Source organism: Homo sapiens, chromosome X (assembly GCF_000001405.40).
Source record: "Homo sapiens chromosome X, GRCh38.p14 Primary Assembly".
NCBI classification, from domain to species: domain Eukaryota; kingdom Metazoa; phylum Chordata; class Mammalia; order Primates; family Hominidae; genus Homo; species Homo sapiens.
The window spans coordinates 42,966,078-42,980,608 of NC_000023.11; the positions used below are offsets into that span (position 1 = coordinate 42,966,078).

General features: G+C 39.3%; 3 annotated features.

Moving 5' to 3' along the window:
• Positions 10,028-11,227: an enhancer, noted in NCBI's record as "MED14-independent group 3 enhancer chrX:42835354-42836553 (GRCh37/hg19 assembly coordinates)". NCBI's record gives its function as "activates an origin of replication core promoter dependent on BRD2, BRD4, P300/CBP and CDK7 cofactors, and independent of MED14, by STARR-seq in HCT116 cells {active_cell/tissue: HCT116}" and the evidence as "EXISTENCE:reporter gene assay evidence [ECO:0000049][PMID:35650434]".
• Positions 10,411-10,911: an enhancer, noted in NCBI's record as "H3K27ac hESC enhancer chrX:42835737-42836237 (GRCh37/hg19 assembly coordinates)". NCBI's record gives its function as "activates a minimal SCP1, AML or CMV promoter by ChIP-STARR-seq in naive H9 embryonic stem cells {active_cell/tissue: H9 hESC(naive)}" and the evidence as "EXISTENCE:reporter gene assay evidence [ECO:0000049][PMID:30033119]".
• Positions 10,680-10,929: an enhancer, noted in NCBI's record as "active region_29563". NCBI's record gives its function as "activates an Ori minimal core promoter by ATAC-STARR-seq in GM12878 lymphoblastoid cells {active_cell/tissue: GM12878}" and the evidence as "EXISTENCE:reporter gene assay evidence [ECO:0000049][PMID:35858748]".

The window sequence follows — 14,531 nt, forward strand, 5'->3', positions numbered from 1 at the left end:
CTTAGAAATTATGCTTGAATAGTTCATTAAACAAAGCTAGCCATCATCTTAAGTTTTTTCTTTGCTAATCATTTCTATAGCTTGTGAAACCCTAAAGTTAAACAGGTAAGTATTTTGTTGATAAGAAGACACAGCTACTTTTATTAAACCAATAAACTAGTATTATTTACCAAAGATGTACCCACATCATGTGAACTAAAAGGCATTTGAGTTAGTTTCTATTTTTCTGATTTAATATTCAATTTAAGTGCTTGTTGGTTCTTTAAGCCAATTAATTAGAGCTCTTTCATACATTTTGGTAGTGAAATATCACATATGAATGACGCATTTAAACATATAGCTATAAAGACACACAGAAACAGCTCTTATAGCTTTTTTTTTTTTTTTTTTTGAGACGGAGTCTTGCTGTGTCACCAGGCTGGAGTTCAGTGGTGTGATCTCAGCTCACTGCAGCCTCCACCTCCCAGGTTCAAGCAATTCCCCTGCCTCAGCTTCCCAAGTAGCTGGGATTACAGGCACGCACCACCATGCCTGGCTACTTTTTGTATTTTAGTAGAGACGGGGTTTCACCATGTTGGCCAAGATGGTCTCTATCTCCTGACTTCATGATCCATCTGCCTTGGCCTCCCAAAGTGCTGGGATTACAGGCGTGAGCCACTGTCCCCAGCCAGATCTTATAGCTTTATAATGTTCTTCATTTGCCAGTTTTCAAATAATTTCTTTTCTACCCCCTTTAGACTATCAATTATTTTTATTTTTTTTTTAGATCCAGAGTCTTGCTCTGTTGCCCAGGCTGGAGTGCACTGGTGTGATCTTGCTTCACTGCAACCTCCACCTCCCAGCTCAAGCAATTCTCATGCCTCAGCCTTCAGAGTAGCTGGGACCATGGGTGTGCACCACCGCACCTGGCTAATTTTTATATTTTCTCTTTAGTAGAAACGGGGTTTCGCCATATTGGCCAGGCTCAAACTCCTGGCCTCAAGTGATCTGCCCACTTTGGCCTACCAAAGTGCTAGAATTACAGGCATGAGCCATCGTGCCCAGCCTAGACTAACAACCTTTTGATTACCTGTCCCATTACCCTAAACAACTGTTAGGTAGGGAACCCTAAATTTGCATTTCTAAAGACATGACTCTTAGATGAAAATTTATATCCCAAAGGCACTGAACTTAGCTCTAACACCATTATTTGCTGATACAAAAAGGGCAAGTGAAGACAAGATTACCAGAAAATGTATCTAAACAAAGGTACAAATTGTTATGTAAACTTTAAGCCAATGTCTTTCCCATTATAAAAGTTTCTAGTGGCTTGAGTACAAGAAGATACCCTTACAAGTGGAGAGTTCCTTTATAGATTTTCATTTCTTTTATAGATGTTCAAAATAGCCAGTGAAATGCCAGCAAATCATATTTTGGAGACCAAAGTACTTAGATGATCTTTTAAACTTAGCTTTTTTCTTAATTCCATTAATGATTTAAGGGTGAAGCCCTTCAATGAATAGGGCAAAGAAAGGATTTGCAGTTTTCAGGACCTGATATTGAAATATGAGAAGAGACACAGCTGGAAGGCAGAGCATCTGGATATTTTAAAGTCAAGAGTCTCACTTTTACATTAAATCTGTGTTCCCAAAACAGAGAAACACTATGAGACTGGGCCATACAAGCTTCTGCATTGGATCTCACTACAAAGACATTTCCCTAAGTGTTTAAACTGTGCTTTTCTTATCTAAATGCACAACAAACCAAGCAGCCCTCTGTGGTAATAACCATTAATTATAAACAACTTCTATTAGTGACCTCCAAAACTGTGGCTCTCATCAGTGACTCATCAGCCGTAACACACGTAAAAATCAAGTTCTGTCTCAATACAAAGTTATCTCTGGTACCCTCAAAAGCCAAAGAGATCAAGTAATGCAATACAAAGGATTGAAGAGTTTTAGACCTGAGAAGAGCCTGTCTGTGACTCTTCAGACTCCACAGAAAGGCAGAAGTTCCCCAAAATGGGTGAATGGTGCCTTTTTCTATGTTCCTTAAGGGGTCTGAGTCATTAGACATCTTCTCTAGATTTCTTAATGTGGTATCAAAAATGGGAAAAGGAAAGAGGAACAGAAGAGGAAGGAAATAGAACAGCAAGTCTTAAAGGAGTCAATTTGGGGAGATTTTAAGCTTTCTAAAAGGCTAAATGAGTTTTACATTTTTCTAAGGAAATATCATTCCAACCAGATAGAAAGCAAAGAGAGGGGTTTAAGTTGACTGGAAAAAAATTTTTAATAACAGGATCCAAAAGAAGAAGAAAAAAAGAGCAGAAAGACCTTTCCCCCAAAAAAATTATGGCTTAAATATGAGCTTTTAATTAAGCTGACTTCTGTCCCTACAAAAGAATCTTTTAATATCTCTTCTTAGGAGATTTCAGCCAGGAAAAACATAAGGTAGGTCTCCCATTAAGTTTGTCTGGTTATCCTTTTTTGCATGCAAATGAATTATTTTAGATATTTCAAAGGATTCCTATTTTGGCTACTGCTGCTCATGACTGTACTGGGTTGGGTGGGTCCACTTTCCTAGACATTTACAAGAGGATGCCCAATAAATATTATTGAAGCACCCTCATGGTCTGGGATGACACCCAGGGTTCTTGGTCTCATGGCCAAGGAAATCAAGAATGCAGAGACACCAAGGGTTAGGTTTAGAGCAGAAATTTAATAGAAGAAAGAGAGAGAACAGCTCTCTGCTTCAGGGAGGAATTCCAGAAAAAGGGTTGCCATTTTTACAGTTGAATGCAAAGCCTTTTATATATAGATAGATAGATAGATGTACCCACATCATGTGAATTAAAAGGCATTTGAGTTAGTTTCTATTTTTCTGATTAAATATTTAATTTAAGTGTCTGTGGGGGAGGTTATTTGAAACCAATCTCAGTCCTACAAAGTTGTTTGAACTGCACCCATCAGAACTCATATATGAGTTTTTTGTTTTTTCTGAGCTGCAGCCAGAGATTGCTGATTGGATTACAGAAACAATGTCATATAATATTATATGTTATATATATTATATATTAAATAAACATGTTTAGGTACATGAATATACATGTTTAGGTACATGAATATACATGTATATATACACATATATACATATACATGTTTAGGTACATGAATATACATGTATATACATGAGATATATATATATATATATATATATATTTGAGATGGAGTCTCACTCTGTTGCCCAGGCTGGAGTGTAGTGGCATGATCTTTGGTCATTGAAACCTCTGTCTCTGGGTTCAAGCTATTCTCCTGCCTCAGCCTCCCAAGTAACTGGGATTACAGGTGTGCACCACCATGCCCAGCTAATTTTTTTTTTTTGTATTATTAGTAGAGATGGGGTTTCACCATGTTGGCCAGACTGGTCCTGTACTCCTGACCTCAAGTGATCCACCCGCCTCAGCCTCCCAAAGTGCTGGGATTATAGGCATGAGCCACCTCACCTGGCCAATGCATGCAAAGGCTTTTATAGGAAACTGATGAAGGCTGGGTGTGTCATTTTAATCAGGTATGAATTTCTGGTAGCTCTACTCCATCTTCCTAATGCGCATGTGGGCCCTTAGCTTGCATTACTCCATATTGCTCTGTTCCCCTTACTGCGCGTGTGTCAGGGGACAGAATTTTCCATTGTGAGCATGTCTGGGCAAGACACCTAGGTAGCCTTACTTATCTGTGTGGCTGTGGGCATGTCTTAGGTAAGCCCCCCTGTGCAAGTTCCTCTATCTATCCCTGCAGGCTGTTCTTTTGTTTGAAAGGATTCAACCGAGGACTGACCAGATTTTTTCCTCTCTCCTCTCTCATTTCCCCCCTCAGGAGTGGAGACCCTGCTTTTAGGGGGAATGGGACAATGATTCTTTTAGCTACTTCCTGTTGGACAGGGATGCTGTGTAGGAGAACAGCATTAGGATTCCTCCTAGGGGCAATCTAAGGGTCCTTGGAAGGAAGGCACGCCCATGTATGGTTTCATTTGCATCACCATTTGGAGCAGGGCAGGATTTGCAGGCTTATTGCCCAAAACTAGAGTATTGATCCAGATTTCTACATGACCAATCCTTTTTTGTTTTTTCTGAGCTGCAGCCAGAGATTGCTGATTGGTTTACAGAAATAAGCAGGTTAGTTTAAAACATAGGCAAGAACTTGAAAACGACTATTGAGATTAGAATTTAATACCCAGCATGTAATAAATTTTGAAAAGTATTTTTTCTCTCTCCAGTCCTCATTTTTGTTAAAAACAAATCATGATTGGACTGAGTTGTTTGCAAAATAAACTATAGTCTTATACTTGGCCTGATTATTTTCATAAAGTACAGAAAGAATAATTATTTTTACATAGGTTTTTAAAACTGGCTTTGATAGAACTCTGTTCCACAAGGACTCTCAGACAGGACTTTTTAAAGTGAAGCCCAGCCATGGGTTTGGAACCTCAAATACCTGAGTTGGGTGAATTCCTCTCTTCGTGAAGCCCCAAGAACATGGGGTTCCTGGGCCTGTTAGAAATTGATATTCTTGACACATCACAGATCAGGAACCCTGCACTGGGACTGTGTAGGCAAGTTATGAGGCCAGTTTTCCCAAGGGGCTTTTATTGGCTCTGCAAGTTAAGCTTGATTCTTTAAAGGAAAACACGCCCTTCCAGTCAAAGTCTTGCTAAAATAACCAGTTTCTCCAATTGTGTCCTTTTGCAAAAGAAAATTGATTTTTATTGCACTGATGAAAACAACTATATTGCCATAAATTAAGAATACTTACAACTAGCTTCCAAATTACAGAGGAGCCAGGCAGAGAGAAACAAATATGCTCCAAATTTTGTTCACAAGAGTATACCTTACTCAATTGTTAAAAGCTGTAGATAGCTTAAAAGAAAAGTTTTCTTGATTCTGAAGAACAAAACAAAGATTAGCAATGTTTTAAACAAAGAGTGAAAAAGAACTACTTCAGACTTCTATTAGTTTAGTCCATGCAGTTAACTCCGGTTTGATATTCATGAACATTTCAGGCTTCATAATTCCTGTATGTTTTCCTTTATTCACCTGTCACAATTTCCAAAGTTATCAGAAACCTGCGTTTTAGAGCACCTGTACAAGTCCTATAATAATTGTAAATCATTCTTTGAAAAGGATGATTTATAATTAAGACAACAATTATCTGTGAATGATGAAATGTCCAGGGTAGTTACAGTTAAAAACACAATTGAAAAAGAAATTTGGTTATTTCTGTGGTTTACAATAGCTTAACATAATAACTTTAATTATGATTGATAGCATATACTCAAACATTAGAATTGTATACATCCCATACAATTTTGGAACATTTATTAATATTATTCGCTAAAATATAAACTGAAGAAGATTAAACATCATTCTGGCAATCTCATGTACCTAAACATGTTAAATAATCCTGTTTACCTCTCTTCTGGATGCTTCAGGGGCCCTCTGTGGCATCCACAAGCTAGGGGTTAGGAAAGACAATTGTGAAGCTAAAGTTTGATTTTTGGAAGCCTGCTAAGTGTTAAAGGCTTAAAACACTTGATATTATGAAATACAATACCAGATTATCATAAGTTATTTATTTTGCCAAAATTATGACTAAAAATTTGAAAACGTGGCAAAAACCTTTGTTCATTAAGAGGGAAGACTTAGCTTTCCAGTTTGTTTCCTGTTTTCTCATTCTTCTCCTTGGCAGTTTATCCACAAGGCAAATGAAAATTGTTCATTATCCTTCACTATTATATGAAGATTTTGTACAAGGAAGAAAAAGCCAAGTTTTGCCCTTACATTGGTTTCAAAACAATTCTTTATTCCTAGGCAAGATTTACATTTCCATGCCTTTTTATAATCTTTTACCACAAAAACATTTTACTGTTCCTACACACCTTACATGTATATCTATTTTCAGTAGTCTCATTTACATGTTATAATGGTAACTCTTAGTAATTTTTAACTTTAATGTAAAACATGGTAAGTTGTTTTAATTATGTACTAGGTCCAGATAAAGTCTGACATTTTTCAGCATAGTTACGGGTATGGTTAATTTTTTTATGTCTCCAGGCCTTATCAAGTTGTAAAGCAGGCAGTTTATGACCTTAAAACATTTAGCAAACCTAGTATGTGACTTACATGATTTAGACCACCTATTTACATTTTGATGACATTTGCATTTGACCAATTATCTTTGAAACATTTTTATTTCTTAAAGATTAAAGTCATGTGAATTAAAAGACATTAAAAGTTTTATCTTTTCTTTAAAAAAATTTGATTTAAGTGCTTAATTTTCCGTAAGCCAATCAGTTAGAGCTCTTTTTATAGACATCACACACAACACATATATAACTACACATACAAACAGAAGAAAACTTGGTTGTCATAAGATTTTTCATTTGCCAAGCTCCTAATTGGATTATTGTCCTCTGGGTGGGGCCCTTTAAGAGCAGGGCTAGGAAAGCATGTAGTTTCTAGGACACAAACAGGTTTTGAGAGGGATCTATCCACCTTTAATTCTTGGGGTTCCATGAGGAAAACCGAGGTTTCTCCAAAAATGGAATCCGTGGTGCCCTTTCTGTTTTTTACAAGAAGTCCCAGGCCATCAGAAGTCACTTTGGGGCCTCTTGTGTGTGGAAAACTGGAGAAAAAGAATTAAGTTGACCGAGAAAAAAAACGTTTCTAGAAAAACAAGATCCGAGAAGAGAAAAACCTAAAGGCCTTTTAAATATACCTATAACTTGGATATCTACTTTGAATTAAGCTGAGTGCTCTTTAAGATAATCCTTTTAAGTCCCTTGTTACCCAACTTTAGCTACACCAATCATTTAATATTTCTGGCTTTTGAACTTTACCAAAAGTAACCTCACAGGCTAAACCAACAAACGTCAATAAGATTATGACTTAACGGCTTGTGTATGGGGTATTTTCAAAGGGGTTGTAAGAAGCTTTTGAAACTGCCATTACAAAATTATAACTGAGACAGTGAAAGAGATCTGACCCAACCAACTCCATCTTGCTTCTAGCCTCCAAGCTGTGTTTGTTCATTACTGGCCATAGGCTGAACCAACTCTGGGAGGAACTTAGTTTATAGTTAATAGTCCAAAACGAAGACAATAACAAACCTTTCCCAGAACAAACCTCCTTCTTGCCTGGGAAACAGACAGCCTTTGTAGGATCAAGAAAACAGTCACAAGATTAGAAACTATGGTTTAGGAGTCATGCAACTGGAGGCTACAAGATTCTGACCCTCTCTAAACTGCTCCTAAGATCAGCACTTGAGCTATTCTGCAGACTTTGCACTTGATGGATTAGCTGGCACCACCCAGACCGATAAACTGGCTCATCTGATTTTGTGGCCCCAACCCAGGAATTGACTCAGCACAGGAAGACAGCCTTGACTCTCTACAATTTTGTCTCTGACCTGACCAATCAGCATTCTGGCTCACTGGCCTCCCCCTAACCATGAAGCCATCCTCAGAAAAGCTGATACTCAAATGCTTGGGGAGATTGACCTGAGCAACAACAAAACTCCAGTCTTCTGCACAGCCAGCCCCCGTGTGAATCACCCCCTCTTCATTGCAATTTCCTAGTCCCAATAAATCAGCTCTGTTTAGGCAATGGACAAAGTGAACCCACTGGAGACCCACACTTTTACAAAATCTAGAATCTTTAAAGGCAACTCAGAGAAAGAAAGATTTAAGAAAGGGAGCTAGAAGTTGTTTATGGAGGGGAAGAGAATAAGCAAATGGCAAAGGTTATACAGATATTAACCTGAAAGTACTTATTCCTTAAGCCAGGAATGAACTCAGGCCACCACTGTAAAATGGCAGAGACTGAAACAAAGTATTGCCACATGGTTACAGGTCACTCTTCCAATGATGTAAAACAAGATGGAGGCCTGCAGTAAAGTTTGTTACTGACCATTTTACTGGGCTGGCTTGAACAGCAGGCTTATGGAGTTTTAGACTCACATTCTGTTCTAAACAGAATCATACAGAAAGACATGCAAAGCACACCAGATTTCTGACAGAATCATACAGAAAGACATGCAAAGCACACCAGATTGACTACAGCTTAAGACCAACCTCACAAATCCTTTTTCATTAATTGAAACTTTACAGAGAATATAAAAAGTGACCCTTACCATTCCTTTTACCAGTTTGCACAGTGAGAGAGAAGCCAAAAGCCCAACTAGTAAAAAAAAAAAAAAAAGCCTTTTACCCTCTGGCTGGCATGTCAGGCTTCTGGGTTTCCTTTCCCTGAGCTCAACACTGAGCCAAGCATTTTAAGGTTTGGGAAATTAACTTTTCCCAATTTGGAGGGACATTATAAAAGAAGAGATAGGATCCATTTCAAACCATGAAAGAAGGATGGAAAAAATACCATAGAAAAGTCTCTGAGGGTTTGGGTGGTAGAACTGGAGGAGCTATGATGTGGATAGGGGGGCAAGAAGAGCCAGGGCATCTGGAAATTGCATTTGAGGGTTCCCCAGGGCTTTGTTTCTTTGACTTTGGGAAATTATGTCCTATGGGCTTGCCTGATAGGATCGCTAAGAGAGCAGGGTTAATTTTACAATGCTGACAAAGATCTGGATTGTCTCACAAGGTTAAGAAGCTTTGCACATAGGAGACCTCAGATCATTTGTCCTCTCACCTGCAGAAAAGACCTAATTGTCAGATAGTATTGAAATTAGCACTTCCCTGAGAAGACTCGCCCCCACACCCCTTTGTTCTGCAGTTGGTAAGATGGCCATGCCCTAGTGCAAAGGAATATGAGGTGCTTTTTCTTTTAGAGTCTGGGGGTCAAAGGAGTCCCAATGATCCAGGCTGCACTCGAGGAGAGTGTAGGCTGAAGACAGGTTGTTAACCATTTGGAAAAAGAGGGGAGAAGAAGGTGTCCTTTAGTTTCCTTTCTTCTTTTGGAGTGACCCAGAGAGAAAGACAGAAAGGGTGTTCCTCTTCTCCTCTTCCCTCCCAACTCCTCTGGGTCCCAGCAACATCATAGATGCCACCCATGGATGCAGGGATAATGCTCACCTATGCATCTGGAGGAGCTAGGTAGCAGAAATAGTCACGCTCACCTATGAGACCCCAGTTCTCCACTGGTGATTTCCCTTTAATTTCCTTGACTTGTGTAACCTTTGTGGCTCCCTGATAGATGGATCTCAGAAGAGACTATGTAACAGTAGCATTTAGTCCAGGACCCTTAATGGAGGAAGTATTCTGGGCTGAGCCCTATATTCTGCTATTATGGCCTGGGCTAAAATATTTATTCTTAAGCAGTGGTTCCAGTTGACTTCCAGACATAAAATCCCCTTTCTATTTAAATACTATTCTAATTGAATGCACATTAGGTGTCTTAAAAAGAACGTAGGGACTGAATGGCTGTCTTCTTGCTGATGGAGACAGTATTGAGGTTAAAATTTGGTTCAAAAGACATTTTTCTCCTCACTGTTGAAGACAGAGTTTTCCCATTCACAGAAGGGGCATAAAGCCTGGTATCTAGTACAGGGGCACAAAAGGGAGAAGAATTGGAAAACTAGAGGTTTTTGGCAAAGGACCGACAAGATCACCCATGGAGAGGATTCCCATTCCACTAGGTCACGCTGTGAACCTTGAAATAGCAGGCAGTAGCTGTGTTTCCTTGTGCTCTCCAGACAAAGGGTAGTGAGAGATCTGAGGCATGGCAGGCTGTCCCCACAATATGCCTCCTAGTGGGAGAAAGTTAGTTTGTCTCATAGAGGGGCTATCTAGTTCAACTGGGCACTACAGGCTTCTCGCATGGGAAAATGGAGAGAGGGACATTCACTGGGGGCTAAATAACCTCCTATTTCTAGAAAATTACAAAAACAGCAATCGCTTGAGCTATATTCCCAGTTACTATGGCACTTGCTGATCCTAACAGAATCATCTCCCTGGGCTATAAAAATTCCTGCAGCATTGCAAACAGACAGGTGATAGGAGATATAGTGGCCATAGTAAGAAGAAGGAAACTACTATAGGTAAAGCTTAGAGATCCTGATGACAACACCCACCAGGTGGTCAGGCACTGAGGTTAGTCCATAAGCCTTTGGGTAACACCAGGGTGAGGCCCCGGCCAGAAACCTTCAGTTGCTTTAGGATCTCTTCCAGCCCTACATGACAGCTAGGCTCTCTGCAAAAGAAAACCAGAACAGAGCCAACAATCCCAACACCCTGAGGGATCTGGGGGATTAGCTAAGTCCTCTCTGGCAATCCTGTCATCTGAGTCTTTAGACAAGCAGTCCATGCTAACCACATCTAGATGGCCAACGGATTTTCTGTGTTTTTGCTTGATTTTAACATTGAGGGCAGGAGGTCTCAAAAGTGAAGGTAAAGAGTTGAAGTTCCTTTCTATTACTCACTCTTTCAATGATCCTATCCTGGTAGAGCCCCCACAATGAAGTGATCTCATTGACTGGGATGACACCCACAGTTCTTAGTCTCATGGCCAAGGAGATCAAGGACATAGAGGTTTAGAGCAGAAATTTAATAGGAGAAAGACAGAGAACAGCTCTCTGCTACAGAGAGGGGTCCTGTAAAAAGGGTTGCCATTTTTGTGATTGAATGCGAAGGCTTTTATAGGAAAGTGATGAGGGCTTGGCATCTCATTTGCATCAGGCACGAATTTGTGGTAGCTCTACCCTGTCTTCCTAATGTACATGTGGACCCTTATTCTAAGTTACTCCATATTGCTTTGTTCCCCTTACTGTGCATGTGTCAGGGGATGGAATTTTCCATTGCAGGCATGTCTGGGCAAGTCACCTGTGTAGCCTTTCTTATCTGTGTGGCTGTGGGCATGTCTTAAGCAAGCTCCCCTGTGCAACTTCCCTTATCTGTGCCTGCAGGCTGTTCTTTTGTTTGAAAGGATTCAATCTAGGACCCACCCTAACTGCCTGCCTGACCAGGTTTTTTCCTTTCTCCTCTCTCATTATTACATAAATCCAGCTGGTATTTCTAAAAAGAACACTCAGATTTAGAAGATTGATTTCCTGTAATTTAGAAACTTTTCCAAAGTGATTAAGGCTGGGAATGCGTTTAGGGTCTAAGTGTGATGTGTCTCAGACGGTCTCTAACTGACAGGTGGCAGCAGAGTGCTCAAGGTGTGGGGGACCAGATCCTCATATTATCCCCATCTGGAATAGCAAAAGGGGGCACACTCTTTAGTTAAGAACTAACAGGAATTGGTCACAAATGAAAGGCTGTCTAAAGTTTTAAGTGATAGAAAACAGCTGCAATCTTAAAAGCATGATATGTAAAATGAAACCACCAGTGCCTAAGTGCCAGTTTTTTACCTTAATCTCTGCTGTGAGACAGAGGTAGAAAAACCTTGACCCAAACCTCTGGTCCTGAGACAGAGGCAGAAAAAAATGCAGTTCTCTGCAGAGCTCTTTACCTGAATCTCCTGTCCAAAGACGGAGATTGAATCTTCCACTCTTAATGAGAAACAAGGGTTTAAAAAACAGCCCAAATGAAGTTTAGACCTTCAATCAGAGTGGGAGGTGGTCCAATTTCAGGAGAACTCCCTCAGTACACTCCATAGGACTTCTGAAGACAGAGAATTTGTGCTGGTAACAAGCACCGCTTTCAGAGAGAAACACCAGGTGGTTGCAGGGAGTCACTCTGAATCATACTGACTACACTAGACATGTTGACCTAAAAGGAAGAAACTGAGGCAAAATTAATATAAGTAGAGAGTTTACTTGGGCCAAGCTTCAGGATTGCAACCCAGGAGCATAGGTTCAACTTGCCCTGAATATACACTTGATTAGCAGCAGTTACAAGTGCATTTGGGGTTTTTTTTTGTTGTTTGTTTGTTTGTTTTTGAGATGGAGTTTCGCTCTTGTTGCCCAGGCTGGAGTGCAATGGCATGATCTCAGCTCATTGTAACCTCCACCTCCTAGGTTCAAGTGATTCTCCTGCCTCAGCCTCCAAAGTAGCTGAGATTACAGGTGCCCACCACCATGTCCAGCTAGTTTTTGTATTTTAGTAGAGATGGGGTTTCACTATGTTATTCAGGCTGGTCTTGAATCCCTGACCTCAGGTGATCCACCCACCTCGGCCTAGAAGTGTATTTTTAAGCAAAAGAAGAGGCAGTTCTTGAGTTGTTTAACAAGAATTTACATTAAAATAATATAAGCTATTGATTGGCTATATATTGCTTCTTTGTATCACAAACTCCAGGAACATAAAGATAATAGATAAGGCAGCTAATCAGGAAAAAATTAGTATAAAAAAGTGCCCTCAGGAATGCAAGCACGGGCTGGGGCATAGCTGAAGTCCCATGTTCATATATCTCTGGGCCTGTAAACCTCGTATAGCTCAGACTGCTCTGAGTGATTTTTCTTTTCTCATCTATATCCCCTTTACCTTCTCCTCTATGAAGTAGATATATAAGGTCTTAAATATCACTGGTTTAATGGGTATTTACTTTTCTTTCCTGTGATGCCCCATGCACATAACAAATTTGTATACTTTTTTCTCCTGTTAATCTACCTGTTGTCAGTTTATTTCCTAGGCTCATTTACCAAACCCTCAGAGGGTAGAGGGAAAGTCTTTTCTCTTCTACATAATTAAATTGACCCAACTGGGGCTACTCTAAATAAGCTCATCATCAGCCAAACTCCAGAGCCTAGCCAAAAGATCAGAGCTGCCTAACCAATATGAAATTGACTATAGATGCATGAGTAAGCCCAACTGAGACCAGAAAAATTGCCCCACCAACCCGAGGTTTCATGAGTTGAGAAATTCTTATTGTTTCAAGCCATTGAACTGTAGAATACTGCATTCACAGCATTTTTAGCAAAAGATAACTGACGCACAAGAAAATCATGGTATAGACAAGGAACCATACCAATAAGAATTGTGTACATTTGAAAATTCTCTCAAGTTATTTTTCTGAACACACTTTATTATCTGTATCTTAGCAGGTTTTAATAATAAAATGCCTAAAATTGGTAGGGGCTCTGAGGGGTGGAGGTAGAGAGAATTAGGTATGAGTGGAAACACCTCTAAAGAGAAGAGGAAACTTGTGGTTAAAGGAATGTGTGGAATCTAGGACAAGAAAGAAGAATGTAGTCAGTGGGACTGAGCATGAAAAGTTGTCTTGAGAAAATAACAGTTAAAGAATCTGTAGTAGAACCTGATTTTTCACTTTGCTTTTTAACTATGCACTGATTCCTACTCGAAGTGATGCACTCAACCATTACTATATTCCACAGGTGTTAGTGTGATCCCAGATTGAGACCCTTAGTTGAGTCTTCAGTCTAAGTCTGCCAAGCCAATTCTTAGAGGAAGATCTTTAAGCATGTTCCCTTGCTGTAGTCTAGCGTATGAAAGACAGGGCTACTCTTCTTGGAAACAATAGCTGTGTGGGGATCTAGGTTGTTTCAGCCTGTTCTAAATCCCAACCCTTGAATTTAGAATGTCATGAAAGTGCTTTGGGCTGTAGCCTTTTTAGAAAACTGGATTCTGATTCCTTACTTTTATTATAGTTCCTTATTATTTTAAGACAAATAATAAAGTATTTAGAAGACACTATGTGTGTGTAATATTGGTGCATTATTCAATGGAAGAATCAATTAAAAATTATCAAGAGAATAATAGACCTGATTAAGTAGAAACAAAAAGCGTTTGCATTACAAAATGAAATAAATCAAAATTAAAAGCAAATAATGAATAAAATATTTACAATGTATATGACAGACATGGATTTGATATATATGAAACTTATCTAAAATAATGAGAAGTAACAAATTACTACAGTAGAAAAAGAAGTAAAACACATAAACTGCCATTTTACATAATAATAAATACTGTGGTCAGTAGGTATATAAGATATTCAAACTCACTAGTAATAAAGAATGCAAATTAAGACTTTTGCTTCTGGCCAAGATGTAGTAACAGGGACTGAATTTACCTTCATACCTGAAACAACTAAATAAAAGGGAAATAAATATATAAAATGATGGTTTTTAAGACACTAGATATCAGACAATGAAGGATGCAGATTCCTATGAAAAGGGAAACAAATGAGGTGAACCCTGTGATTGCACCAGGTTGCTGCCTGAACAGTTTCCTGGCTGAAGCACATATAGGGGCAATCCAGGGGGGTCATGAGAAACTCCCTGAGTCGGGGAGAGAGCTGAGAATCCAAAAAGACCAAGATGTCTAGAGTTTACAGGACAGAATACCAGAGGAGAGAGATTCACAGAGAGGGAACCCCAGAGATCCAGAGATCTATAGAGAGCCCTTAAGTACTCAGCAGCATGTTGATCAGAGATCCAATAGTTTGTGATAGGAAAGTACCCAAAGCCAAAAGAAGAAACATTTAGAAGGATTAAAGTATTACACAGTACTCACAAAAGGCTGGGAATAGTGCTGTTTTGCACAAGCCAGATGAAAAATAATTGTAATTCATGGGATATTGGATGGACCAGTTAGAAAGTTAAAAGTTAGAAAGTACAAGTTAGAAAGTACAGGAGAATAATTAGCCC